At 38.6% G+C, this 26164-nt stretch overlaps 1 protein-coding gene, 1 long non-coding RNA gene and 5 other non-coding genes across 25 annotated transcripts, besides 4 other annotated features; 6 read left to right on the top strand and 1 right to left on the bottom strand.

The window, feature by feature from the left end:
• On the bottom strand, positions 5714-26157 carry LARP7 (La ribonucleoprotein 7, transcriptional regulator). Of its 17 annotated transcripts, none has more exons than XM_047415769.1 (15): positions 26061-26157; positions 25513-25656; positions 24627-24682; positions 18429-18632; positions 16849-16949; positions 16629-16712; positions 16345-16509; positions 16173-16266; positions 15751-16101; positions 15466-15649; positions 13614-13765; positions 12718-12839; positions 10064-10223; positions 9141-9232; positions 5714-6053 (listed from the first exon to the last, which is right to left on the bottom strand). In XM_047415769.1, exons 4-15 carry the CDS (start codon positions 18628-18630, stop codon positions 5973-5975), a joined length of 1788 nt encoding a protein of 595 aa, XP_047271725.1. In that variant the 5' UTR covers positions 18631-18632; positions 24627-24682; positions 25513-25656; positions 26061-26157; the 3' UTR covers positions 5714-5972. The 17 variants fall into 17 exon arrangements, with proteins under 17 accessions (XP_047271725.1, XP_047271727.1, NP_001253968.2 ...); XM_047415771.1 differs by having other exon boundaries at positions 15466-15610; NM_001267039.4 differs by lacking the exon at positions 24627-24682 and adding an exon at positions 18812-18875 and having other exon boundaries at positions 15466-15610.
• On the top strand, positions 13249-16580 carry MIR302CHG (miR-302/367 cluster host gene). 3 transcript variants are annotated; one of them, NR_146092.1, is made up of 3 exons: positions 13249-13308; positions 14701-14787; positions 16332-16580. It is a non-coding gene; the product is annotated as a miR-302/367 cluster host gene (long non-coding RNA). The 3 variants fall into 3 exon arrangements; NR_146093.1 differs by lacking the exons at positions 13249-13308; positions 14701-14787 and adding exons at positions 14597-14646; positions 15833-15885; NR_146094.1 differs by lacking the exons at positions 13249-13308; positions 14701-14787 and adding an exon at positions 14597-14646.
• Positions 13707-14429: an enhancer, noted in NCBI's record as "OCT4-NANOG-H3K27ac hESC enhancer chr4:113570027-113570749 (GRCh37/hg19 assembly coordinates)". NCBI's record gives its function as "activates a minimal SCP1, AML or CMV promoter by ChIP-STARR-seq in naive H9 embryonic stem cells {active_cell/tissue: H9 hESC(naive)}" and the evidence as "EXISTENCE:reporter gene assay evidence [ECO:0000049][PMID:30033119]".
• On the top strand, positions 14743-14815 carry MIR302B (microRNA 302b). The gene has a single exon (NR_029857.1). It is a non-coding gene; the product is annotated as a microRNA 302b (primary transcript).
• MIR302C (microRNA 302c) lies at positions 14870-14937 on the top strand. Its single transcript, NR_029858.1, has one exon. It is a non-coding gene; the product is annotated as a microRNA 302c (primary transcript).
• Positions 15049-15117, top strand: MIR302A (microRNA 302a). The gene has a single exon (NR_029835.1). It is a non-coding gene; the product is annotated as a microRNA 302a (primary transcript).
• MIR302D (microRNA 302d) lies at positions 15229-15296 on the top strand. The gene has a single exon (NR_029859.1). It is a non-coding gene; the product is annotated as a microRNA 302d (primary transcript).
• MIR367 (microRNA 367) lies at positions 15359-15426 on the top strand. Its single transcript, NR_029860.1, has one exon. It is a non-coding gene; the product is annotated as a microRNA 367 (primary transcript).
• Positions 19494-19595: a silencer, noted in NCBI's record as "fragment chr4:113564861-113564962 (GRCh37/hg19 assembly coordinates)". NCBI's record gives its function as "represses an EF-1alpha promoter that drives an FKBP-Casp9 reporter gene in an ReSE screen in phorbol 12-myristate 13-acetate-treated (for megakaryocytic differentiation) K562 erythroleukemia cells {active_cell/tissue: K562(+PMA)}" and the evidence as "EXISTENCE:reporter gene assay evidence [ECO:0000049][PMID:32094911]".
• Positions 25605-25714: an enhancer, noted in NCBI's record as "active region_21833". NCBI's record gives its function as "activates an Ori minimal core promoter by ATAC-STARR-seq in GM12878 lymphoblastoid cells {active_cell/tissue: GM12878}" and the evidence as "EXISTENCE:reporter gene assay evidence [ECO:0000049][PMID:35858748]".
• Positions 25755-25804: an enhancer, noted in NCBI's record as "active region_21832". NCBI's record gives its function as "activates an Ori minimal core promoter by ATAC-STARR-seq in GM12878 lymphoblastoid cells {active_cell/tissue: GM12878}" and the evidence as "EXISTENCE:reporter gene assay evidence [ECO:0000049][PMID:35858748]".

The following is a 26164-nucleotide window of genomic DNA, read 5'->3' as shown; positions in this document are numbered from 1 at the left end:
ATACAAAAAATTAGTCGGGCTTGGTGGCAGGTGGCTGCAGTACCAGCTACTCGGGAGGCTGAGGCAGGAGAATGGCGTGAACCCGGGAGGTGGAGCTTGCAGTGAGTGGAGATCGCACCACTGCACTCCAGCCTGGGCGACGGAGTGAGATTCCGTCTCAAAAAAAAAAAAAAAATTAAAATAAGGCTGGGTGTGGTGGCTCACACCTGTAATCCTAGCACTTTGGGAAGCCAAGGCAGGCATATCACCTGAGCCCAGGAATTTCAAGCCAACCTGGGCAACATGGCAAAACCCATCTCTACAAAAAATTAGCTGGTCATGGTGGTGGTGGCACCCGAAATCCTAGCTATTCAGGAGGCTGAGGCAGGAGGACCACTTGAGCCCAGGAGGTTGAGGCTGCAGTGAGGTGTGATTGTACCACTATACTCCAGCCTGAGTGACAGAGCGAGAACCTGTCTCAAAAAAAAAAAAAAAAAAAAGCCAAGCAATAATGGATTAATTAGTAAATTATGATGGATATCTATAATGGCATACTAAACAGCTATTAAAAATAACCCAGCCTGGCTGGGCATCATAAAGACCATAATCCCAGCACTCTTTTTTTTTGAGACAGAGTTTCGCTCATGTTGCCCAGGCTGGAGTGCAATGGTGCAATCTCGGCTCACCACAACCTCCGACTCCTAAGTTCAAGTGATTCTCCTGCCTCAGCCTCCCAAGTAGCTGGGATTACAGACATGTGCCACCACGCCCAGCTCATTTTGTATTTTTAGTAGAGACAGAGTTTCACCATGTTGGTCATGCTGATGTCGAACTCCCGACCTCAGGTGATCCGCCTGCCTGGGCCTCCCAAAGTGCTGGGATTACAGGCATGAGCCACCTCACCCGGCCAATCCCAGCACTCTTGAATGCCAAGGTGAGAGGATAGGTTAAGGCCAGGAGTTCAAGACCAGTCTGGGCAACAAAGCAAGAGCCCATCTCTACAAATAATAATAGTAATCATCATCATCATCGTCGTCACCCAGCCTGGGCAACATAGGGATAGCCTCTCTGCCAAAAAATTTTAAAAATTAGCCTGGCATGGTGCATTTGTGCCTGTAAGTCCTAGCTACTTGGGAGGCTGAAGTGGGAAGACCACTTGAGCCCAGGAAGTCGAAGCTGCAGTGAGCTATGATCATGCCACTGCACTCCAGCATGGGTGACAGAGAGAGGCCCTGTCTCAAAAACAAAATCAAAACCAAAAAAGAATGCTACTTTAGAGAGACATAGGTGCAGTGGACTAGCAGTTGAGTGATTACCATCTGCCAAGAGTGTATGAGATGGTAGATAATATTATCTCTGTTTTACAGATTAAAAACCTGACTTCGAGGGGATAGAGAATGCTTTTTGAAAGAAAAATTTTTACAAAGGAAGTTATAAAACTGTAATAGTATGTACAGAATTTTGATGCCTTTTTTTTGTTCTTATGTTTTCTCTAGTTTTTTTCCACAATAAATTTTTGTTGAGTGATTGCAATGATAGGGAAAGTAATTTCTAACTAGAATTTTCAGGTCATTGTATTTTTATACTTTTGTCAGTACTTGAGATAATTTAAAAGTATATTTTCATTCCTTCATTCAGCCTTTGTTTCCTTACTATTTATCAAACTTTGTGGCTTTTTCTTTTTTAAACTAGAGAGGGCAAATAGAGTTGGTTTCCTTAGTAATGGTAGCTAAAGCTCCCAAACATTCTTTTCTGTTTTTTTTTTTTTCATTCCTTTCTCTTAAAACTGTTTGGATTTCCTGAGTAATAGATATGCATACTAATTACCAGTCCAATTTTATTTTAAGGGCTAAAATGATGACTGCAAAAATGGACTGATTCTAAGCTAAAACGAACAATTTTAGTGGGTTGCCGGTTCCTCCTAGAATTTTCATACACTTTTTCAACAGTGCACCTTAAGTTCAAGGGCCAACGTCCTATTGTGTGGTTGTCAACAAAGGCTTTCATATGAAACATGAAGATTGTATTTGAAAGATTCTTCAACTTTCCATTTGTCTACTTAAAATACATTAAATAAAATAATGCATTTTTATTAAAATATACAAACAGGACACAAATACTAAATTAAAAAAAGTTTCCATCTTTGCTTCAGTTCTTCATCAAAGCAACCACTGTTATAAACTTGGACATCCTATGTGGTAAAAGAAAAAAAAAAGGACCACTGTTCATTTCCTATATTATTCTAAAATGTGTTTAATGTATATAACAGCACATATATGATATATGCTTCTTAAAAGGAGATATATTTTCCTTAATATGTTTATCTAGATGGGCTAATACCATATGTACTGAATTGGAACATCTTTTTTCCACTTCAGTCTTTTTTTTTTTTTTTTTTTTTTTGTAAGACAGAGTTTCATTCTTTTGCCCAGGCTAGGTTCACTGGCAAGATCTCAGCTCACTGCAACCTCGCCTCCCGGGTTCAAGTGATTCTTCTGCCTCGGCCTCCTGAGTAGCTGGGATTATAGGCACCCACCACCATGCCCAGCTAATTTTTCTATTTTTAGTAAAGATGGGGTTTCACCATGTTGACCAGGCTGGTCTCAAACTTCTGACCTCAGGTGATCGTCCGCCTCAGCCTCCCAAAAGTGCTAGGATTACGGGCATGAGCCATGGCACCCGGCCTCCACTTCAGTCATAACCACTGCTGAGTATTGTATTTCATTGTATAAATATACCATCATGTAAATAGTCTTTTTTTGACGGATTTTTTGTTTTTTTCTTTTAGGAACAATCTTGTAATGAGCAAACCAATAACACCAAAGATCATCTAAATGTATGATTCTTTTTATATAAAGCACAAATTGGATACAACTAATCTATTCTGGTGAGTTCTCCCTTGGGAAGTGACTGAAGGAGGGGTTGCTGATAATCTGTTTCTTTGTGGGGTTTTCCTAGACGGAGTTTCACTCTTGTTGCCCAGGCTGGAAGTGCAATGGCACGATCTCAGCTCACTGCAACCTCCGCCTCCTGAATTCAAGCGATTCTCTTGCCTCAGCCTCCTGAGTAGCTGGGATTACAGGCATGCACCACTATGCTGGCTAATTTTTTGTATTTTTAGTAGAGATGGGGTTTCACCATGTTGGCCAGGCTGGTCTCGAACTCCTGACCCCAGGTGATCCACCCACCTCAGCCTCCCAAAGTGCCAGGATTACAGGTGTGAGCCACTGTGCCTGGCCATTTGGGGTTTTTTTCTTTTTTAAGAGAGACTCTCACTATATTGCCCAGGGTGGTCTTGAACTCCTGGGCTCCAGCAATTCTCCCGCCTCAGGCTCCTGAGGAGGATACTACAGGAATGTGCCACCATGCCTGGCCATCACATTTTTCTGATCAGTTCCAAGGCTGATATAATTCTGGTTTGTTTTTCAGAGACAGAGAGTCTCACTCTGTAATCCAGCCTGGAGTACAGTGGAACCATCATAGCTCACTGCAGCCTCCAACTACTAGACTAACGAATCCTTCAGTCTCAGCCTCCCAAGTAGCTAGGACTACAGACATGTGTCAACACATCTTTTTTTTTTTTTTGAGATGGCGTCTTGCTCTGTCACCCAGGCTGGTGTGCAGTGGCGCGATCTCAGCTCACTGAAACCTCCACCTTCCGGGTTCAAGCGATTCTCCTACCTCAGCCTCCCTAGTGGCTGGGACCACAGGCATGTACCACCACGCCTGGCTAATTTTTTGTATTTTTAGTAGAGACGGGGTTTCACTGTGTTAGCCAGGATGGTCTCGATCTCCTGACCTCGTGATCCACCTGCCTCAGCCTCCCAAAGTGCTGGGATTACAGGCGTGAGCCACCGCACCCGGACAGCCTGGTTAATTTTTTAAATAGGAGACCCGGTCTTCCTATGTTGCCCAGGCTTGTCTCAAACTCCTGGCCTCAAGCAATTCTCCTGCCTCTGCATCCTGAGTAGCTGGGACTACAGGAATGTGCCAACTTGCCCAGCTAATAATGTGTTTCTTTTTTTCCCCCGACATGCATCTTTGGCCTTGAAGTAATCTGTTTGAGTGCAGTTACCCAGGTACACTCCTTTTGTAAAATTTCATAGATCTTTGGTACACTTTTTGGTACATATGATTTACTTCAATGAGAAGTTAAAAAGATAGTTGTCAATGCAAAAGCTTTTTGTAGGACTTAATTAAATGTTATGAAACAAAGTGAGGGCCAGGTGTGGTGGCTCACGCCTGTAATTCCAGCACTTTGGGAGGCCGAGGAGGGTGGATCACGAGGTCAGGAGTTTAAACCCAGCCTGGCCAAGATGGTGAAACCCCGTCTCTACTAAAAATACAAAAATTAGCCAGGAGTGGCGGCATGCGCCTGTAGTCCCAGCTACGCGGGAGGCTGAGGCAAGGAATTGCTTGAACCCAGGAGGTGGAGGTTGCAGTGAGCCAAGATCATGCCACTGCACTCCAGCCTGGAGGCTCTGTCTCAAAAAAAAAAAAGAAAAGAAAAGAAAGAAAGAAAGAATAAATAGGGGTTCTCCTCCCTTGCATTTTTTCTTCCTAGGACTTGTCACTTTCTAACAAACTGTGTAATTTACTTATTTTTGTTTACTGTCTGTATCTGCTGCTGGAATATAAACTCCATGAGTGAGGGATCTTTGTTTTGTTCAATGTTTCTCAAGTGTTACAATGTCCAAACACAGATATTCAATAAATATTTGTTGAATGATAGTTTTACAAACTGCTAACGGGAGGATTTCTGAAATTTTACTTGGTAACATCTCCATGTTGCCTTAAGACATTCCTCACTGACATCAATTGAATTCTTGAAACCTTGATTTACTCCTGATATTTTGGATCTACTGGAGCATCTTTAGTTATAATCCTCATAATAGGACTTAGCAACTATTTATACATCTTCCTTCTCCTCCATGAAAATGCATATGCTAGCTTTCCTTCATGGAAAGAGAAAAACTTCATGGAGCGGGTGAGTGGGAACTTGCCATGGCACTAACTTTGTAGCAATTAGCTGTCACTCCAACCAGTGAGATGGCCAATCTCCTCAAATATTTGGCTTATAGAAGTGAACAGATCCTGATTGTAGCCTCTCCACAATCCATGGAAGGGGGTGGCCAAATAAGACCCTCAATTTTGGATAAAGCTGACAGATTCAGGATTTGGTTTGTAGCCCAATGAAATTAACTCCATGGCTGTCCAGAGTACTTCCTTGAGATTTTGATAAGAGATTAAGATGACAGTCCTGTATGGACCCAGTTAAGTTCAATTCTGGGAAGGCTTTAAATGCTTCACTCCCATGATTTTCCTGAATAAAATAACAGAGCTCAGTTCTGCCTAAGGTTGATTCCTCTATTTTTTCCTTCTTGTGCTAATAGCACCTAATACATTTTATTTTGTCTAACCAAAACAAAACATTTAACTTGATTTATGAAGAAACTCAATTCTTTTAAAAATTTAACATTTTAATTAGAACCAATCCCTATGGTCTATTGTTCAATGGAAGCTCAGATAGGCAAAGTGGAATGAATAGAATGAACTATTAAACATGTCTGTATAAATCAACATGAAAAGGTATTGAAGGTATTGCAAGTTACAAACTAAGTACAGTGAGAGTTTAGTGTTAAACATTTCTCTAAACTTTATATATATTCATGTAGTATTTTTGCAATTATGTTTTGTTTTTACAGTATAAAAACAAAATCAACACATTTCCAAATAATGTTCAAAACACATTTATTTACTAAATCACCTGACACTGACATCTAAGATAATTTCAACAAATAAAATGTTTAAGAAAAATTGTGGTATACATCATATTTGTCTCTAGAAAAAAGTCTTATTTACAAGTTGAGGAACAAAGATATTTCTTTTAATTAAAAACACATTAATTATGCAGTGCTACCATAATAAAAGTGAATCTCCCAAGAACAGCTCAAGTATCTTGTGAAGTATTAAGAGGTGAACTGTTTTTTTTTTCAATCATATTCAGAAAATCTTATATGTTTACTCGCTTGTTGAGTCTTTGCCAGTCTAATCTTTTCAGCTTTGGTGATTAACTAAAGAGAAATAAATCAAAAATTAAAATGTATTGGATACTCAAAACACACACACACACACACACACACACACACAAAACTATGACTAGAAAAAATTTCACAGCTATCAGCTTAAATGGAAATTTTTTAAAAACAGCGAGAAGATGACAAATGAGATAATTATGCTCAGGTCAAATCAATTACAAATCAAATCTGTTATTAAGGCTATTTACTATTTCCTATTTCTTACACCCTTACATAAATTGTTGAATATTTTTAAGGAAGGCAAATGAAATTACACAGAATAAAAAAGAAAACTGTTTAAAATGTCTAAAATATTCCAAAAGCTTCCTTGAGAAAAAAAAGTTAAAATATTAAACTTTGGAGTAAATGCAAATCTTTTTCTCTAAAAAATATAGATTCTAATGAGTATTCATTTAAATAGTTTTAAAGTGTTTGGTACCATATGGCAATTGGAAGGAATTCACTTTTAGATTAAACTAAAAGCCTATTATTCATCATTGAGGTGAATTAAAATCCAAAGATGTTTAGAACTCTATCATACCCATGCTGCTGTTCACAAATTTTATAAATTCTGCCTTTACCTGCTGAGTATCAGTAATTTTTACAGAAAAGAATTCAAATGTTTTAAAAGCCAAAGAGAAATAAGCTTCATTCTGTCTCTAGTAGCTGTTATCTATTTTTACCAATGTGTTCAAAATCATAGGGCATACTACAAAGATTTAGGCTAGCAAAATGAATAGGAGACATCCCTTTTGGCAGACCTTTCCTTCATCTTCTTGATCTTTTGTGATACATCACTAATTTAATTTACTTGTGTTTAATATATTATTTTAGTTTCGTTTTTTTGAGACAGAGTCTTGCTCTGTTGCCCAGGCTGTGGTGCAGTGGCGCCATCTTGGCTCACTGCAACCTCCACTTCCTAGGTTCAGGCAATTCTCTTGCCTCAGCCTCCCCAGTAGCTGGGATTACATGTGCGTGCCAGCTGGCTAATTTTTGTATTTTTAGTAGACAGGGTTTCAATATGTTGGCCGGGCTGGTCTCCAACTCCTGACCTCAAGTGATCCACCAGCCTCAGCCTCCTAAAGTGCTGGGATTATAGGCATGAGCCACCGTGCCTGGCCCCATAATGTGAATATTAAGAGCCAGAATTTTTTTACTTTTACTCAATTATGGGCCAAATACAACACTATTGTAGAAATATTGGGCTGTCAGGTCAGTAAGGTATTTATGTAACCTTTTGGCAGATTCACTGATGTTCTACTAGTTTTTTTTCTAAGCAATTTCCATTACTTACTAAGATGCTCCTAGTACTCCAACTACACTGGTCTTCTAGTCCCTGACAGTCTTCCCTTCCGGTCTCTGCATTTTCTTTGCTTCTGCCTGAAAAGCTATACTTCTAAACTTTACTGGGGCTTACTCGCTCACTTCCTTATGGGTCTTGGCTGTAACATAACCTTTGCAGAGAGTTTTCCAGACAACCTCAGCTGTTACAATGCTCTCCTGCAATACACTTTATTTTTCTGTCTAGCACTGGTCATCACCTAAACTATATTGTTTATCTGTTAGCTTCATGAAAGTAGGGGACTTTGTGATTCATGGCTTTACCCCAGGTTCCAAGAATGGTGCCTAACACAAGGCACTCAAAAATCATTAGCTGAATTAACTAGCAAACAAGTTGGCTAAACTAATTATGGTCTACTCCTTTTTTCCAACAAGCTTTGCACAGCACTTACTTTCTGTGTTAACCTCCGTTTCATTTCACGACAAGAGTCAACTGGCTACTTCCATAGCTACTTAACAAATTGCGTTAACGACAATCCTGACGTCATAACTGAGTTGTGTTCCAACTCAATTTAAGAACTTCCTAGTCAAAGATGAGCTCTAAATTTTTAAAATGAAAAATAAAAGGTTTATTCCTAGTTTTAAAAATATATAAAATCTAAATGAAATTTCACACCAATTAGAAGGGTATTATTTAACAAAGTGACTTCACTTCAGTTACCAGTTCTGGATTAGTGATTTTAACATTTGAATAATCTCAAACTGGCTTTGAAATTAACACCTCATATCCCTGAAAGAATCCTTGGGAAGCACAGGAGGCTTCCCCACCACAGCAAGTTCAGTCTCCTTTCAAGGAAACAAAATTCACACCTCCCCACAAATCACGATAAATTCTGGGCAATGGTAGAAGAAGGTTGATGAAAAACACTTGCTTTTTAAGTTAGTTTTTTTTTTTTTTTGTATAAATATGACCCCAAATCAACAAGCTTAGATTACAGGAAATAGGACTTTTAACTTGCTCACCTAACAAAAAAGGAAGTTCATCTTTTTCATTTTTCTTACACTTTTATAATATGCATTTCTAAATTTTGATGACTGTAGTTAATATTAGGTATTATGTACCCTACTTTGTTCCAGGCACTTTTAAAATGTACTAACCTTTACATGTATAATAATTTGTTTTAAAACTTTAAGAGACAGGGTCTTGCTATGTTGCCTAAGCTGGAAAGCAGTGGCTATTCCCAGGTGTGATTCCACTACTGATCAGACCAGTATCATTTTAAGTGACAGAAAAATAAAATTACTGAAAGAGGGGCTTGCTTTAAATTATTTAAGCTTGTTTGTATTACCTACTATCTTAGAGAAAGAGGAATAAAGCTTATCGTTGCTATAGGAAACACTATGCATAAAGTCTCTCCATCTTATCTATGGAGCCTCCTATCTTTATAAACTACATTCTGAATACATTGTGTTTTTACCATGAAGATAATCTTTCTATAATCATTTATCACCAAACTACAAGACATAGCAGCCAGATATCAAGACTGTTAAAGTATATCACTGGTTAAAAAGAAAAAATCTAAATTAAAATTATGTATCCTTGTGAGAAAAATAATTCAATTTCATACATTTTGAAATCTAGAGAAATGACTTTTCCCTCCCAACCTAAAACATAGTATATACTCAGTAAATTTTTGTTAGGTAATAGCAAAACTACGATCATTTTATGACTACCTAGTACTGACTTTGGCATTAAACGTTCAAGGAAAGTTTAGTCTAAAAAAACAAAAATGAATCAATTACCTTTTCAGTGCCTCTTTTCTTTTCCCGAGGCTGATTAAGTTTTGCCTGTCTATCAACCAAAATCTTCTGCCAATACCTTTGTTCGTGATCACCTTAAAAACAAACAAAGACTCTGATGGATGAAAAGAAGAACATATCTGAAAAACCATATTCAAGGCATTACATTCTCAATAATAGTAACTAGGACAGTTTTTGATTATATTTAATGCTACTTTACACATATTACAGAATAGAAAAAAAATAGTTAGTTTTGCCAGGTGCGGTGGCTCAAACCTCTAATCCCAGCACTTTGGGAGGGCGAGGAGGGAGGATCACCAGAGGTCAGCCTGGCCAACAAGGCAAAGCCCCTTCTCTACTAAAAATATAAAAATTGCCTGGTGCAGTGGCTCATGTCTGTAATCCCAGCACTTTGGGGGGCCAAGGCAGGCAGATCACCTGAGGTCCGGGGTTCGAGACAAGACCAGCCTGACCAACATGGAGAAACCCCGTCTCTATTAAAAATGCAAAATAGCGGGGCATGGTGGCACATGCCTGTAATCCCAGCTAACCTGGGAGGCTGAGGCAGGAGAATCACTTCAACCCGGGAGGCAGAGGTTGCAGTGAGCCGAGATCGCACCACAGCACTCCAGCCTGGGCAACAAGAGCGAAACTCTGTCTCAAAAAATAAAATAAAAATATAAAAATTAGCCGGGCGTGGTAACACACGCCTGTAATCCCAGCTACTCTGGAGGCTGAGGCAGGAGAATTGCTTGAAACTGGGAGGTGGAGGATGCGGTGAGCTGAGATCACACCACTGTACTCCAGCCTGAGCGACAGAGCAAGACCAAAAAAAAAAAACTAGTTTCATTAGCCAAACTCAGAAAATATATTACTCACAATAAGGATGATAACAAAAAAAAAAGGAAACGTCTATGAAGTTTTACCAGAAAGGATCTCGAGTTTCCAGCAGTGTTTCTTGTTAATTTCTGTATAGGCATTTATTACTGCTTGAGCATCCTCAGGAGTTTTAAATCTAGCATGGCATTCTGTATCCCCTTCTAGCAAATCAACATAAAGAACTTCTGAGATTGCTGCCAAAGTATCCTGCATTAGAGTTAAGTAGAAAGACAAATAAAATTTAAAAAGTTTCACAATAATTCTAAAACTATTCCAATGGTTATGCCAGAATATATTATGTAAATAAAGCATTTTGCAGTCTAATGAGGAGCAAATATCCTGTATCAAATATTTCCTGTAAAGCATGTTCTTAAAAATAGATTTGAATAATATCAACTCTAGTAATTTATTTTCATTTATTTTCTTGAAATCACATCCTTAAAATCTGCACTAGAATGGGAATATTCTATAAGGACAACAGATTTATAGAGCAGAAAGCAGAAATAGTGTCCCCCAACCCCCAAATCAGGAAGCGTTCACATCTGGGAGTAGTATAAGGAATAAAATTAAAAAAAAAAAAAAGGATTAAGGGAGGTTTGTTTTTACTCACCTGTAGAAAATCACTATGACTTTAAAATATGTGTACAAATCATTCCACTTTTAATAACAACTCATGAAAAACAGTTTAACCAAACCTAAAATACTAGATTTCCACATTGTTCAAGAGCTCTTACTTTCTGAAAAAAATACCTAAGTAACCTCTTCTAAACAAGTTGTGGTCACCCAGCAAGGAAAAGTTTTACCTACACTGCCTGCTGTGAGGGCAAATTAACCAGATTCCTGCATTCTTAATCAACTTTTTTTTTCACAGCAGGTTTTACAGAGTATACAATGCATTTATGCAGGAATGTTACACTAATTCCTAATTCATCAACTTCCATTCATAAAGCTAAAGAAGTAACTGGAGATTGCTAAATGGGGGGGGGGGGGAAATCTTATTTATCTTGCCTCCCTTTCGTTTTGACCTAAAATTTCAGACATAACTAATTTACATTACTTTCAGATGTTGAATTTTTAGATGTTTGAATTACGGAAAGAACTGAGCAATACCTGGAAGTATTATTTCATCATAGAATAAGAAAAGTTTATCAGTTAATAATAAAAAATATATAATAAAATCTGTGAGTTTCTAGAAGCCAGGGACTAGATCTTAACTCATCCCAACACTCAGCAACTATCACAAAACAGGCATTTAGTAACTGTTTGCCAAATTAAAAAAAAAAAAACTGCAGAGACTTACACTTGCTAGTCCTTCCCACTTCTTTACCTAGTTAATTAGTACCAAATTTAGATATAAAGCAAGTAAAAAACTCAGTATTGTTGAAATTTGAATGCATTCAGTAGTAGTAATGAGTTTTATAACTGACTTTTGAGCATATTCAATTACTACAACTCAAAAGATATATACTAAATATCCATTATAATGTCAGGCTAATCTCTTGATTTAAAACCCTTAGAATTTAAAACCCATAGAATGACAAATTAGCCTGGTAATCACATGGGCAAGTCACAGACAGTTGTAACCAACACAGCTCAGTTTTTGTTTCAGCAAAATGTAAGTAACTACTAACTGGATTAATGCAGGGATTGATTTTATGATTTTGATGATCATAAATGATGAATTTGTAATTGATAAAGTTACCCTTTAAATAACAGAAGTTATTTAATGAGTTGATTAGAAATAACTCTGAGCAATTTTTGTATTAAATGTTTTGCAATCTGATTAATCAGAGCAGTATTTACATCCCTCAATTTTCAGCTGTCTCCTGAAATGCAAGCTGGTAATAGCAATTTGGATTTGGCCAAATCCTTCACCAACATTGCAAAGAGGATCAAAATTTGTTTCTTAGTGACAGCTATAGGATTGTAGGACAGTATTTCAGATAAGGAGGGCTTACAGATAAACAAACCACCACCTCAATGGTATTCAAGTTAAAACCTGTGACTGATGAGTCTACGTAAAACCAAAACAACATACTAAGTGATGATGAATGTCAGTATAAGAAAATACTTAAAATATGTGGTATGTTACAGAGCATTTCACACTTTTTAAAAAGAAAAGGATTCACTTAAATGGGTGACAGGCAGGGTAAGGGTAAATAAGATATGGTACTCTCACCTAAAAGTATATAATTTCCCTAATAGAAAGTATTGCTACCAATGTGGTATAAAAGGCTACAGAAGATAGACTGTATAAAGCGAAAAAATTATAAACCTGTATGTACAGCAATTTGTAGCGTAAATTATATAGAAGTATGGGTTTTTTGGCACATGCGTGAAAAATTTTAAGAGGTTTTCAAAAATATTTTACTTTTCTATAATTAAAATTTTAAAGATAATCAGCACATAGGTAATACAAAAAAAATCAGTGCCAATAAAAATAAGCAAAAGTTACAATTTTCCTATAGAGAAGGATGTTTAAACTGTGCTTACATATAGATTTAGTGAGGAATTTCAGCCTCTAGATTTTGCTTCAAAATTAAACCTAAGAGTTACCATGGAATTAAAACTGTACAGTAGTTTACCATAGGGAAACAAATTCTAACTTGATTTGTTTTATCTTCCATATTCAAAACATTTTCACACAGGGAAATAATAAGAGAAGAAAGGAACAAATACCCTAGGGGCTCAAAATCATTACCCGGACTTGTTTCCTGCCAGGTAGAGGCTCTGTGCTAATGATCTTCACAATCACTCCACTCACGAACTGTGGTCCTGTTGCATTAACTTTCTCCTGGGTGCGACACTCTTCCCTGTTGGCTGCTGATTAGAAAAGGAAAAAGACCAGGACTAAATCTCTTACACTTAACAACAATTTAATACTTAGGAGGACTACCTTAGAATAATTCCTGAGGCAGATTTAAATAATTTAAAACGTATTTAATTTTAAAGTAAACAATTAAAGGTTATATGTCATACTGCTTATTTCAAAATACCATGAATAAAACTCAGAAAGTTTTATTATTCTACATGCAAATTGTTACTGCTAGAAGAGCATTCGTAAAGCCTTTAAATTTGCCCCTTCTCCCTGAACAAAGGAACAGTAAATTTTTACTCAATAAAGTTAAAAAAAAGTTAAAGGATACTGTGTTTTAAATACATTATTATTCAAACGTGAACATTTATTTTTACAAGAAATGAGAATTTAAAATGTATCCTAATTTTGAATTCATAGGAATTCTGCTTTAACTTGTTCCTGCTTGTGGTGCATACTACAGAATGAAATTAACAGGTGAGAAACTACAATCTTCATTCCTACAAACTTGCTCAGTCTGCAAACTCTGCACTCATGTGCTTGATGAAAACTGTAGAGAAAACTCAGGTTATTTAAAAAATTGTTTTAAATGAGCCTTTTAAATATTCTTATATCAAGAGTAAGTAACACATCTGGATAACTTAACAAATCAAGAATTGTTCTAATAATGAAATAGAATAATCAAGTTTTTTAAAATTAAAATTTATCTTATAACAACTCAGAGATAGCATTTACATATATAAGTACATTATAATGTTGTCAAAACTATCAGTGATCTTTACTTTTTTCATTTTTCATTCCAGTGTTTTGAGGTACTCCACTGTCTGTTTCCATTTCTGACTCTGATTTTATTTGGGATATTGTTTTTTTTAAAGAAGCCATGCTAGCTTTTTGTAGCGCTAAATACTCTTTTTTCAAATCCATCCATTCGCTCCTACAAGGAAAGAAATGGTGATAACAGATGACTAAATATAAAAAGTAAATAGGGAAATATCTAAATATATACATTCACAATGACTTGGAGCAACTCCTCCACCAACTTTCCTGTTTCTTTAAACACATATTCAAAATATTTCCTAGGTTCTAAAGACATTTAGCAAAATAAGCTAAGGGAGTTCCTCTTCCCCCAATATTCAGATTAAATGTTTTAAGATTGCCAATTAAATTTTTGAGTGTCTGAAGTATTTTAATTTATAAAAGTAAAATTTTAGCATTAATTCCTTAACTAGTAACATTTACTAAATCAGTCATCTCTGTGGGAAAAGGGCGAGATTAAAGATTTGTTAAACTGCTTCCAATTTGAGAGATAACATTCCTTAGTATTTACTTGAATCAAAAAGAATTTCTAAGTAGAACAAAACACCCCGTGGAAGCAATCTATTTATTTACATACATTTAACATGTAGATGCTTCTTCAAACAGAGTTCCTCCAGATAGAAACACAATGCCTTTCTCGGCTCAGTGGGAGCACTCATTGTTACCCTAATCTATGCCATCAAACAAGCAGATAGGAGATTTTCTTTTTCTTTTTCTTTTTTTTTTTTAAGAGGAAGATATCTTGTGGTAATGGTTTTAGCTGTTAACATTGACATCTGTATACTTCAAAAAAAAAAAAAAGGATCCAGACCCACCCAGGATCATACATTCCCTGAGAGCTGATACATTAAAATAACAAAAGGCCCTTGTAATGATTCTCTGAGATAAAAAGGCAAAAGGAATTCAAGAGTTAAGAATAGTATAAATAGAAGTGGCTGAAGTCCCTGCCTTTTACCCTTCTGGAGGAGAACACGAATCTTTGGGAACTAGTTCAGGAAGGTAAAAAAATTTTTTTCTTCTAAAGTTATGCCATTTTGTTTTCTTTCTCCTCAGCTCTAAATACTCTGAAGTCCAAAGAAGTTGTATGTTGGGTGGGCTCCCTTCAACTTTAACATGGAAGTGCTTTCTGTGACTTTAAAAGTAAGTGCTTCCATGTTTTAGTAGGAGTGAATCCAATTTACTTCTCCAAAATAGAACACGCTAACCTCATTTGAAGGGATCCCCTTTGCTTTAACATGGGGGTACCTGCTGTGTGAAACAAAAGTAAGTGCTTCCATGTTTCAGTGGAGGTGTCTCCAAGCCAGCACACCTTTTGTTACAAAATTTTTTTGTTATTGTGTTTTAAGGTTACTAAGCTTGTTACAGGTTAAAGGATTCTAACTTTTTCCAAGACTGGGCTCCCCACCACTTAAACGTGGATGTACTTGCTTTGAAACTAAAGAAGTAAGTGCTTCCATGTTTTGGTGATGGTAAGTCTTCCTTTTACATTTTTATTATTTTTTTAGAAAATAACTTTATTGTATTGACCGCAGCTCATATATTTAAGCTTTATTTTGTATTTTTACATCTGTTAAGGGGCCCCCTCTACTTTAACATGGAGGCACTTGCTGTGACATGACAAAAATAAGTGCTTCCATGTTTGAGTGTGGTGGTTCCTACCTAATCAGCAATTGCGTTAACGCCCACACTGTGTGCAGTTCTTGGCTACAGGCCATTACTGTTGCTAATATGCAACTCTGTTGAATATAAATTGGAATTGCACTTTAGCAATGGTGATGGATTGTTAAGCCAATGACAGAATTTAAACCACAGACTTACTTTGATAGCACTCTTAATGGTATAACTTCTTCTCCCATTTTATGTCTCTCTTTATGTTTTTTCTTATGTTTCCTTTTTGTTTTCAAGAGAGAGCTATCTTTTAGATCTCCAGTATCCTTTTCCTCTTCAGTAGAGATTTCTATATCTTGAAATAAATAAAAAAGCTCTCCGTTAAGACATGGGGCTGTGAAATGGGTGAAACAGAAGCCAATTAAAACCTAATTAATTAAAAACTAATTAATTAAAATTAATTAGTTTTATCTAATTAAAACCTTGTAGTTTTACCTCTATTTTCCTTGGAAGCTTCTGATGCTTCCTTAATGATGTCTTTCTGAATAATTTTCTTTACTTTTGATCGGGGAGCTAGGGATTCTGCATCTTCAGAGCTGCTTCTCTTCCTCTTCCCTGTTCTGACTTCAGGTAAGCTAGATGCTTCAACTCTGTCCCGTTTTTTCTTTTTCTTTGAGCACTGCTTTTGGGGTTCAGTGGACTCAATGTCAGAGCCCTCAGATGTGGGTCTGGATCTTTTCATTTTACTGATGCTGGTGTTGCTTGTGTCCATGTTTTCTTCTTTGGCTTGGATATTGTCTTCCTTTTTCATTCGGCCTTTCTTCTTCTTTTTCTTTTTCTTCTCTTCTGTAAAAGTGCCATCATTATTAGTTCATCTTACTTCAACTACACCTATTTAAATATTGAAAAATACTCACCCACAACTCTTAAGGCTGGAATGGGCTTATTTTTCACTGTTTTAGGAAATATGCCAGGTTTTCTTGGTGCTTCTTCTGGTGGGTTGTTAAGAAACTGAAATGATTGCAAAAGTTACTATTTTAATACTTGTTTTCTTTTCTTTCTTTTTTTTTTTTTAGGATCTGGACTTACCTCAATTGCTTTTGCTGCTTGTTCTTTTGTTTCAAATTCCACAAACGCAAATCCCTTTGGATCTCCAGTAGACTTATAATGTGGTATACTTATATAAACAACATTGCCACATTTCCCAAATACTCTTTCAATCCAGCTGTGATTAACATTTTTGGGAAGTAACTCCTATTATAAATTAAAAGCAATATTAGAGTTTTTCACAATCAGAATGTCAATAAATTTTTAACTTAATTATATTGTTTCTGTGCCAGTTTCTGACTGGGGACCCGGGTTCTTAAGCTTACCACATACACTGTGCGTTCATCCTCATCCTTTGGTCTTTCCCCCAGAGGTTTTTTCCTCCGGATTCTGGTGCCTTCCAAATCAAGCTTTAAAATAGTATATTACATTAATAAAACTAATATTATTTATAATTGTAAGCTATAATCATATAATAATCATTACGTTAACATTCTTTATAATTATAAACTATAAATATAAACAGTAGTTATTCTTGATTCTTACCTCTACAACAGCTGAACTTCTCAATGCTCTGGCAATTAACTTCCCATCAGTAGTCAATTTTTTCATTTTGTTAAAAGACACAAGTAGTGATATATCAACATCTAAAGAAAATGAAAAAGTTAATATGTTAGTGTATCAGCAGGATTAATTCAATTTGGTACAATTTAACCTGCCCCTCAGGCCCTCAGGCTCGGTGGCTCATGCCTGTAATCCTAGTACTTTGGGAGGCCAAGGCGGGTGGATGGGGGAGTTCAAGACCAGCCTGGCCAACATAGTGAAACCCCATCTCTACTAAAAATACAAAGAATTAGCTGGGTGTAGTGGTGCACGCCTGTAATCCCAGCTACTCGAGAGTGAGGTAGGAGAATCGCTTGAACCCAGGAGGCAGAGGTTGCAGTGAGCTGAGATCACTCCAGCCTGGGAGAAAGAGACTCAAACAAAACAAACAAAAAAAAACTGTATGAGGGTCTAAATGGCATTGCATATTTGGCGACCTAAAATGACACATTTTAGTGTATGTAACTGCAGATTAAGATTTGAACACAAATTATTAGCAATACCCAGACATTCAAAGAGGACATCTGGATCCCATCCTATTAGAAACAAGCACAAGGTTGGCTATTTGAAATTTAGCAACTGGGGATGGTGGCTCAATGCTTCTTATCTCAGCAATTCAGGGGTGAAGGTAAATCTCTTGAGCTCAGGAGCTCAAGACCAGCCTGGGCAACATGGTGGGACCCCATATCTCTTAAAAATGCCAGAAAAAAAAGCCGGCCTGGTGATGCTTGCCTGTGTTCTCAGCTACTGGGGAGGCTGATGGAGGATCGCTTGGGTGGGGCTGAGGGGGTGGAGGTGGGGGCAGAAGTTGGAGTGAGCAGACATGGAGCCAGTGCATTCCTGCCTAGGGAAAAAAGATAGACCTTGCCTCAAAAAAATGAAACAAAAAATAACATTGAGCTAGGTGAAATGCCTTCTTGTATGAACTAAAGTATAGCACTCTCGAGTTACACATGATGAATGGTTATTGAAGCAATTAAATCCCAAAATACTTAAAAGCTTTGATTTGAAATTGCTTATTTAATATAGCCTAAACTGTTACCAACAGTCTTTATTTAGAAGATTGTCATTCACTAAATAAAAATTAGAACAGATTACACGGAACACACTTACAGAAACGAATATACACATTATAGAATATACTATTTTAGGCTGGGTGTAGTGGCTCACGCCTGTAATCCCAGCATTTTGGGAGGCTGAGGTGGGCAGATCACAAGGTCAGGAGTTCGAGACCAGCCTGGCCAACACAGTAAAATCCCATCTCTACTGAAAATACAAAAATTAGCCGGGCATGGTGGTGCTTGCCTGTAGTCCCACCTACTCGGGAGGCTGAGGCAGGAGAATCACTTGAACCCAGGAGGCAGAGGTTGCAATGAGCTGAGATCATGCCACTGCACTCCAGCCTGGGCAACAGAGCAAGACTCCAACTCAAAAAAAAAAAAAAAAAAAGAATATATTATTTTATAAGTAAATTTAAAGGCAACCATATCTAAAAATTGGTTCCTTTACTGAAGCAAACTTACATCCATCTCTAGATTTTTCTATCTGTTCTCGAAGAAATCTATCCTTGTGAAGATTTGCATCCCCAAACCAGAAGTCCACTTGCTTAGCAATATCTGCAAGCACCTGTTTAACTCGTGACCGTTTCTTTTTTTCAACTTCTTTTTTCTTTTCAGTGCTTTCTTCTTCCATTACCTTTTCCTGATTTCCACTTTCAGTTTCCATTCCTGTGAATTACAAGAAAAAGATGTAAATATTTAAATCACCACAATAGCTAATATAGTTAAATATTTAGATTAGCCTTTAACTGTCTGAGAGAATAATGGACTCACATTTGGCCATCAGAAGACAAACAGAAAGAACATTCATTTTTATATTTAATAAATTAAATTTAAAAATAATTTACCTTCTATGTTAGGGATCATAGCTTTAGTTTCTTTGTACCTTTTAAAACACAGGGCCAGATTATCCTAGAATAATATAAAAAATTACACCTTTATCTCACTAAGCTGCACTTTTAAGTCAGTAAGTGAAAAGTGTAAGATTAAGGGACGTGGACACTCTCCATCGCAACACCCCCTCCTCTCCATCGCAACACCCCCCCGCCCCCGCCCCACCCCAGAGAAGTTGTATTCGCTTTTTTTTTTTTTCTTGGAGACAGTTTCCCTTTTGTTGTGCAGGCTGGAGTGCAGTGGCGTGAACTTGGCTGACTGCAACCTCCATCTCCCGGGTTCAAGCAATTCTCCTGCCTCAGTCTCCCAAGTAGCTGGGACTACAGGCACATGCCATCATGCCCGGCTAATTTTTGTATTTGTAGTAGGAGACGGGGTTTCACCATGTTTGCCAGGTTTGTCTTGAATTGCTGTCCTGGTGATCTGCCCGCCTCCGCCTCCCAAAGTGCTAGGATTACAGACATGAGCCGCCGCGCCTGGCAATTTTGATTTTTAAAATGTTAATTTCTGCTTTCTAGGGGCAGAATTCAACTGGTAAGCTGTAGAAATCAGCCTCTTCTCTCTTCTCTTTCTTCTTCTCTTCTCTTTTCTTTGAGGCAGTCTTCCTCTGTTGCCCAGGCTGGAGTGCAGTGGCATGATCTCAGCTTACTGCAAGCTCTGCCTCCTGGGTTCAAGCGATTCTCCCTGCCTCAGCCTCCCAAGTAGCTGGGAATACAGGCACCACTGCCAATCACACCCGGCTAATTTTTGTATTTTTAGTAGAGACAGAGTTTCACCATGTTGGCCAGGCTGGTCTCGAACTCCTGACCTCAGGTGATTCGCCAGCCTCAGCCTCCCAAAGTGCTGGGATTATAGGTGTGAGCCACCGCGCCCAGCCATAAATCAGCCTTTTCAAGTGGCCTTCTCATCCCAGTGTTTATTTCTTGGGCAGCAATTTCTAACCCCCTCCTTCCTCAAGTTACTTTCAGTATCTCTTCCCCTTTGCTTTGTCAGCTCCAGCCATACAGTCCTTGCACTTCTTGAAGCTCACCCAGCAATGTCTAACGGGGTCTTTTAAACCTGTTCTCTTTGAAACACATATCCCCAGAGATAACACAGCTTGCTCTCCTACTTCAAGTGTTTATTTAAATGTCACCTCAGTGCGGTCCCCTCCCACAATCATATTTAATAATGCAAATTTCTGGATACATACACAGTAACTCCCCTGCCTTATTTTTGTTCATAGCATTTATCATCTTCTAACATTACTATCACCACTATGCAATTTATTTCTTTGTTGTTTATCCTTCCTAGATGGTAAGATCAATGAAATCAGAGATTTTTGTTTGTTTACTGATATATTGTCAGTCCCTGCCATACAGTCACTTAAAAATGTGTTGAATAAATTGTGCCTCGATTTTGTTGAATGAATTGAATCACTAGTGGTATAGGAGCAAAGGATTAATATCAGGCCTGGGATAATACAGGCTGCTTGAGAATAACCTCAGTCTCCTATAATACAGTCTTCTTGGAAACTGGAGAGACTAATGGGGGTGTTGTATCTGTTTCCCATGTTGCACCTGGTTTGGAGCAGCTATTAGATGGCATGGAGGCCTTATGCCTACGTGACCAGAACAACAGATTGATAGGCAAAAGAGGTTAAAGCTTTCACGTGTCAAAGTGTCCTAAATACACCATGGTCCTTATCTAGGGAAGGCATACATGCCTGTTGTGGGTAAATGGGAGAAAAAAGTAGTGAATTTGGGTAATTGCTAGATATGGGTAAATGGCTTGGTGGCCTCTGGTGGGATGAAGAAGCTGCATCTACCCTATCTTTTGCCTTGACTCTTCTTTGGTAAGCAGTATTTGCATCTCTTGAGTCTGACTGCTGGTTAGAATCTCTAACTGCTACAGTGATGCTGCTGATAGTAACAGAAATAGATAATGTGTTTCAAAGTGATATCCAGTAAGAGGGTACAAAGCCCTTAATGCATTTCACCTCAAATCTCCAACTAAACATGCATTCTCATCAAACTCAACAGAAGTACATTTTGGCATTTTAGGTTTCAGTAGATCAATCAAGTACCAATTTTGAAATTTTACAAGTAATGATATATTTAGGTGATGCTAGCTTAAGACATAAAACACAACTATAGGTCAGAATTAATAATAGAAAAACAATGAGGTGTCATTGAGTACCACACAACCATGTTCTTCACCTCATGCTCTTACTTCAACCCATCCTGTCAGGTTTTCCTCATCACCATTCTAGAGAAACTGCAAACAAGCTCCTCAATGTGCTCCACTGTCTACTTGACCTCTCAGCAGCAAATGCAGTTGGTAACTCCCTCCTTGAAAATATTTTCTTCATATAGCTTCCAAACGAGTCTTCTTCCTTTTCAATTCCCTTTTGCAATCTCAGTTTCTCAATTTCCTTTCACCCTACCTCTCCCACTGTGCCCTACACCTTTACATGATGCCTAAATTGGACTCAGTCCTGGGCTTCCTTCTCATTTACACACTCATTCTTTCTGAGGATCCTGGCTTTAAGCTCATTGGCTTTATGCTGATGCTTTACAAATCTATCTTCTCCCATTAGCTCCCCATTCCAATATTCAACTGTCCACCTGACACCTCCACTAGTTTATCTAAAGGATATCTCAAAATTAACATGGTGAAAATAGGACTCTCTAGTGCTAACAATCCCCTCCCACCAATTTTCCCTATCTCAGAAACACCAATTACAAAATTGCTGAAAAGGCAAAAGCCTTAAAATCATTCTTAATTTCCCTTTTCCTTACACCTCATGGTCAACTCATCAGTATTTCTGTTAGCTCTAACTTTAAAATATATCCCAAATATGAATAATTCTCATTTCCTCCATCATAAGCACCTGGTCCAAGCTACTACTGCGTTGTCTGAACAACTACAAGAACTTTATTACTAGTCTGCCTGCTTCTAATCTTCTTCCCTTATAATCGATTCTCCAGATAGAATTACCATTTAAATATGTAAATCAGATCATGCCAATTCCTTACACAAACTCCTCCAAAGGTTTCTTTTTTTTTTTTTCCCTGAGACGGAGTCTCACTCTGTCACCCAGGCTGGAGTGCAGTGGCGCGATCTCGGCTCACTGCAACCTCCCCCTCTGGGTTCAAGAGATTCTCCTGCCTTAACTCCCAAGTAGCTGGGACTATAGGCATGTGCCACCACGCCTGGCTAATTTTTTTTTGTATTTTTAGTAGAGACGGGGTTTCATCATGTTGGCCACCTGACCTCAGGTGATCTGCCTGCCTTGGCCTCCCGAAGTGCTAGGATTACAGGTGTGAGCCACCGCGCCCAGCTCAGAGGTTTCTTATCACACTCAAAATAAAGTCCAAAAACCTTACTGTGGTTGACTGGATCTTAAATAATCTGGCCTGGGGATCTCTCTAATTTCATCTATCACAATTCTTGCCAACAGGCTCAGTCCAAACATAACAACCATCTTTTCGTTCTTTAAACATGCTAAAGCCATTCCCACTTCAGGGCCTTTGCCCTTGTTGCTCCCTTTACCTTCCTTACCGTATCTGTATGAATTACTTCCTTGTTCACTTAGGTCTCTGCAAATGTCACTTCTTAGAGAGACTTACCTCTTTCCGCTCAATCTAAAATATTCCCTCCCTGCTGACCTTAACTCCGTCCACTGCCTCAGTCACTATTTTTTATTCTTGTATCTTGTTGTCACTACCTGGAATTATAACTTTATTTTTTATTTTTAATTATTTATTGAGATGGAGTCTGTTGTGCAGCCTGGACTGCAGTGGCACAATCTTGGCTCACTACAACTTCTGCCTCACAGGTTCAAGTGATTCTCCTGCCTCAGCCTCCTAAGTAGCTGGGATTACAGGCAGCTGTCACCACACCCTGCTAATTTTTGTTTTCAGTAGAGATGCGGTTTCATCATTTTGGCCAGGCTGGTCTCAAACTCCTGACCTCAAGTGATCTGCCCATTTGGGCCTCTCAAAGTGCTGAGATTACAGGTGTGAGCTACCATGGCCGGCCTGGAATTTTAATTTTATTGTCTACCTATCCCACCAGAATGTAGACACTATGAAGGCAGGAACTTTAACTTCATCAGTACCTAAGTATCTGTTGAATAAAAAAACAAATTTAAAAGTACCTGTAAAGTGTTAAGCATTTCAAATTCTTTGTAAGGTTGTGGGATGTAAATAAAATACAAATAGGCCAGGTGCAGTGGTTCACGCCTATAATCCCAGCACTTTGGGAGGCCGAGCCAGGTGTATCACTTGAGGTCAGAAGTTCAAGACCAGCCTGGCCAACAAAGTGAAACCCAGTCTCTACTAAAAATAACAAAATTATCTGGGTGTGGTGGCCCATGCCTGTAATGCCAGCTACTCGGGAGGCTGAGGCAGGAGAATCGCTTGAACCCAGGAGGCAGAGGTTGCAGTGATTCGAGATCGTACCACTGCACTCCAGTCTGGGAGACAGATTCAGTCTCCATCTCAAAAACGAACAAACACAAACGTAGGCTATAATTATCAATTATTCTATAATTGATAATTATAATTCTATAATTGATAATCTATAATTATAAATTATTGATAATTATCCAATTATCAATAATTCTATCCAATTATTCTATCCAATCTCTTGTTAAATCCTATCAGTTTGACTTTTGAAATGGCTCTCATCTCCATCCAGTGTTTTCTACAACTACTGCTACAACTGTCACTAGAATATGCCAATAGTTTATAAACTGTTCTGTAAGTCACCCATTCTCAACAGGAGCCTATGTATAACCCATCTAAAACACAGACCTGGTTTTGTGATGCTTCTGTCAAAACTTGCAACATTAGAAATTCCTTAGCACCTTCCCGTAACATAATATGCAGTTTATGAAAACACTGTTTTAAAAAAAAAAAGTAACACTTGGCCAGGCGCGGTGGCTCACGCTTGTAATCCCAGCACTTTGGGAGGCCAAGGCGGGCGGATCACGAGGTCAGGAGATGGAGACCATCCTGGCTAACAAGGTGAGACCACGTCTCTACTAAAAATACAAAAAAAGAAAAAAGAAAAGAAAAAAATTAGCCGGGCATGGTGGCAGGCGCCTGTAGTCTCAGCTACTTGGGAGGCTGAGGCAGGAGAAAGGTGTGAATCCGGGAGGCGGAGCTTGCAGCGAGCCGAGATCGTGCCACTGCACTCCAACCTGGGCGGCAGGGCAAGACTCCGTCTCAAAAAAAAAAAAAAAAAAAGTAACATTTAACTGGCTTTAAATGAAGAATAAAAGTTATTGGGTAACAATACCAGTAACTTTATATACACTTTTGTAAATCCTCACAATCCCACTAGGTAGCAGTTTCTTCCATCTTAACACAAAAACTCAAAAAGGTTTAAGTGACTTGGCCAAAGCTAGCTAAGTAAGTTGTCCCAGGTATGTTTGATCCCACATTGTCTACCTTTTGGTAGAATTTCCCGCAATTTATCACCACGGACTCTATGTTCTGACTCAGGAATTCTTAATCTGAAGTCCATGCAACTTTGGCTGGACAAGAATTCTAGTGGGCTCCATTAAATTGTAAATGATACATTTTAAAGATAAGGTAAAATCAAGACTCTTGTACAAATATAAAATGAATACACGGTAAAGATTTAAGCACAGTCATGGGTTGCTTAACGACAAGGACACATTCTGAGAAATGCACAGTCAGGTGAGTAAGTACATCATTGAGTATGTAGTTATTCTATGATGTATTCACACAAACCTAGGTACTATTGCCTATTACTCACCTATAATCTTATGGGACCACTGTCATACATGCGGTCTGTCGGTATGTGGTGCTTGACTGTAAATAAGGGAACCAGTTAAGTGCTAAAAACCAGTTCAAAGGAGAATTTAAAAAGCAGGTACACAGGCAATCAGGAACGTTGAAATGAATATTAATAAATACTGCTCAGGACAATAATTAATTGCATCTTTACTGGACAAACCTAATTTCCATGTTGCTGTAGCGAGTTACAGGGTTGAAAAATAGTTCAAAGACCACGAAAGACATAGATAACTTGGAAGAGTGAGTCAGACAAGACACCAAGTCATTTGTGTGTGTTTGCTATTTAAAAGTATTTCGTAATTTCTCCTGAGGAAATTATATGAAAAATGTTTGTTTGGAGACGCAGCCTCTCTCAGTGGCCCAGGCTGCAGTGCAGTGGCGCGATCCCGGCTCACTGTAATCTCTGCTTCCCGAGTTCAAGCGATTCTCCCAACCAAGCCTCTTGAGTAGCTGGGACTACAGGTGTGCACCACCACTCCCCGCTAATTTTTGTGTTTTTAGTAGAGACGAGATTTTGCCATATTGGCCAGGCTGGTCTCGAACTCCTGACCTCAAGTGATCCTCCCGCGTCGGCCTCCCAAAGTGCTGGGATTACAGGCGTGAGCCACCGTGCCCAGCCTCGCAAAATGTTTTAATAGGTACATGCACGTTTTCCTGAGAAGCTAATCCATATAATTAAGTTTTCAAAAGAAGTGTGCCACAACAGGTTAAGAATCATTGTTCTGGTCACTGCTTACAACTCAAGTCCCTCAACACGTAGTGGCCTGTGTGTTCTGCTTTGTCTGAATCTTCTCGTCTAAATTTCCTTATTAAATTTTCAAGGCCCAGGTTAAATGGCATCTTACTCTTTGAGATCTTCCACCACCCTGTGTCCTATCATTTGTTTTCTCTTAAGTTTCTTTGCAAACGCACTCTGCACACCATATCTAGCAAGTGTTAGTTCCCTTCCGTAACTGGATTTTTTACTCTTTGAGGACGATGGCAGAGTCCTGCAAAAGAAGATGATAATTTTAGAATATAAATCCTCACGTTCGCTATCTTCTGGCAGCCACAGCTCAGCTCCAATCTGCGAAATACGGCACTCTCTTTATTGACTACTGCTTCTCTCGGCACCCGTACTTCCGCAAGGACGCCGTCATAGGCCGGGCGCGCCCCAAACCTCCCCACGCCGGGCCCCTATGCGCCCTTACTGTCTGAAAACGGGAACTACAAGTGCTGCCGAAGACTTTTGCGCGTGCGCATAGATAACTAGGCCAAGGAACTGATGGGTGTGCAGGACGGGGGGGCGGGGTAAGAAGGACGATAGATGATAGAGTGGACCGCAAGAAAAAGGACGGAGAGTTAATTAGACTTCGCCCAAGCTGTGCGACCCTATAGGCCGCTTGTAACTTACTCCGTTCGACTCCCAAAATACAGGGTCAAGTACTGCGGCCTTCGGACATTTCCGTCTCCGGATCCTGATAGTCTCGGTTACTTTCGCGTCATAGGATGAGCGAC

This window comes from Homo sapiens, chromosome 4 (genome assembly GCF_000001405.40).
Source record: "Homo sapiens chromosome 4, GRCh38.p14 Primary Assembly".
In the NCBI taxonomy this organism is placed as follows: Eukaryota; Metazoa; Chordata; class Mammalia; order Primates; family Hominidae; genus Homo; species Homo sapiens.
Note: the sequence above shows the minus strand (reverse complement) of the source record. Positions and strands in the feature narration are given on the sequence as shown.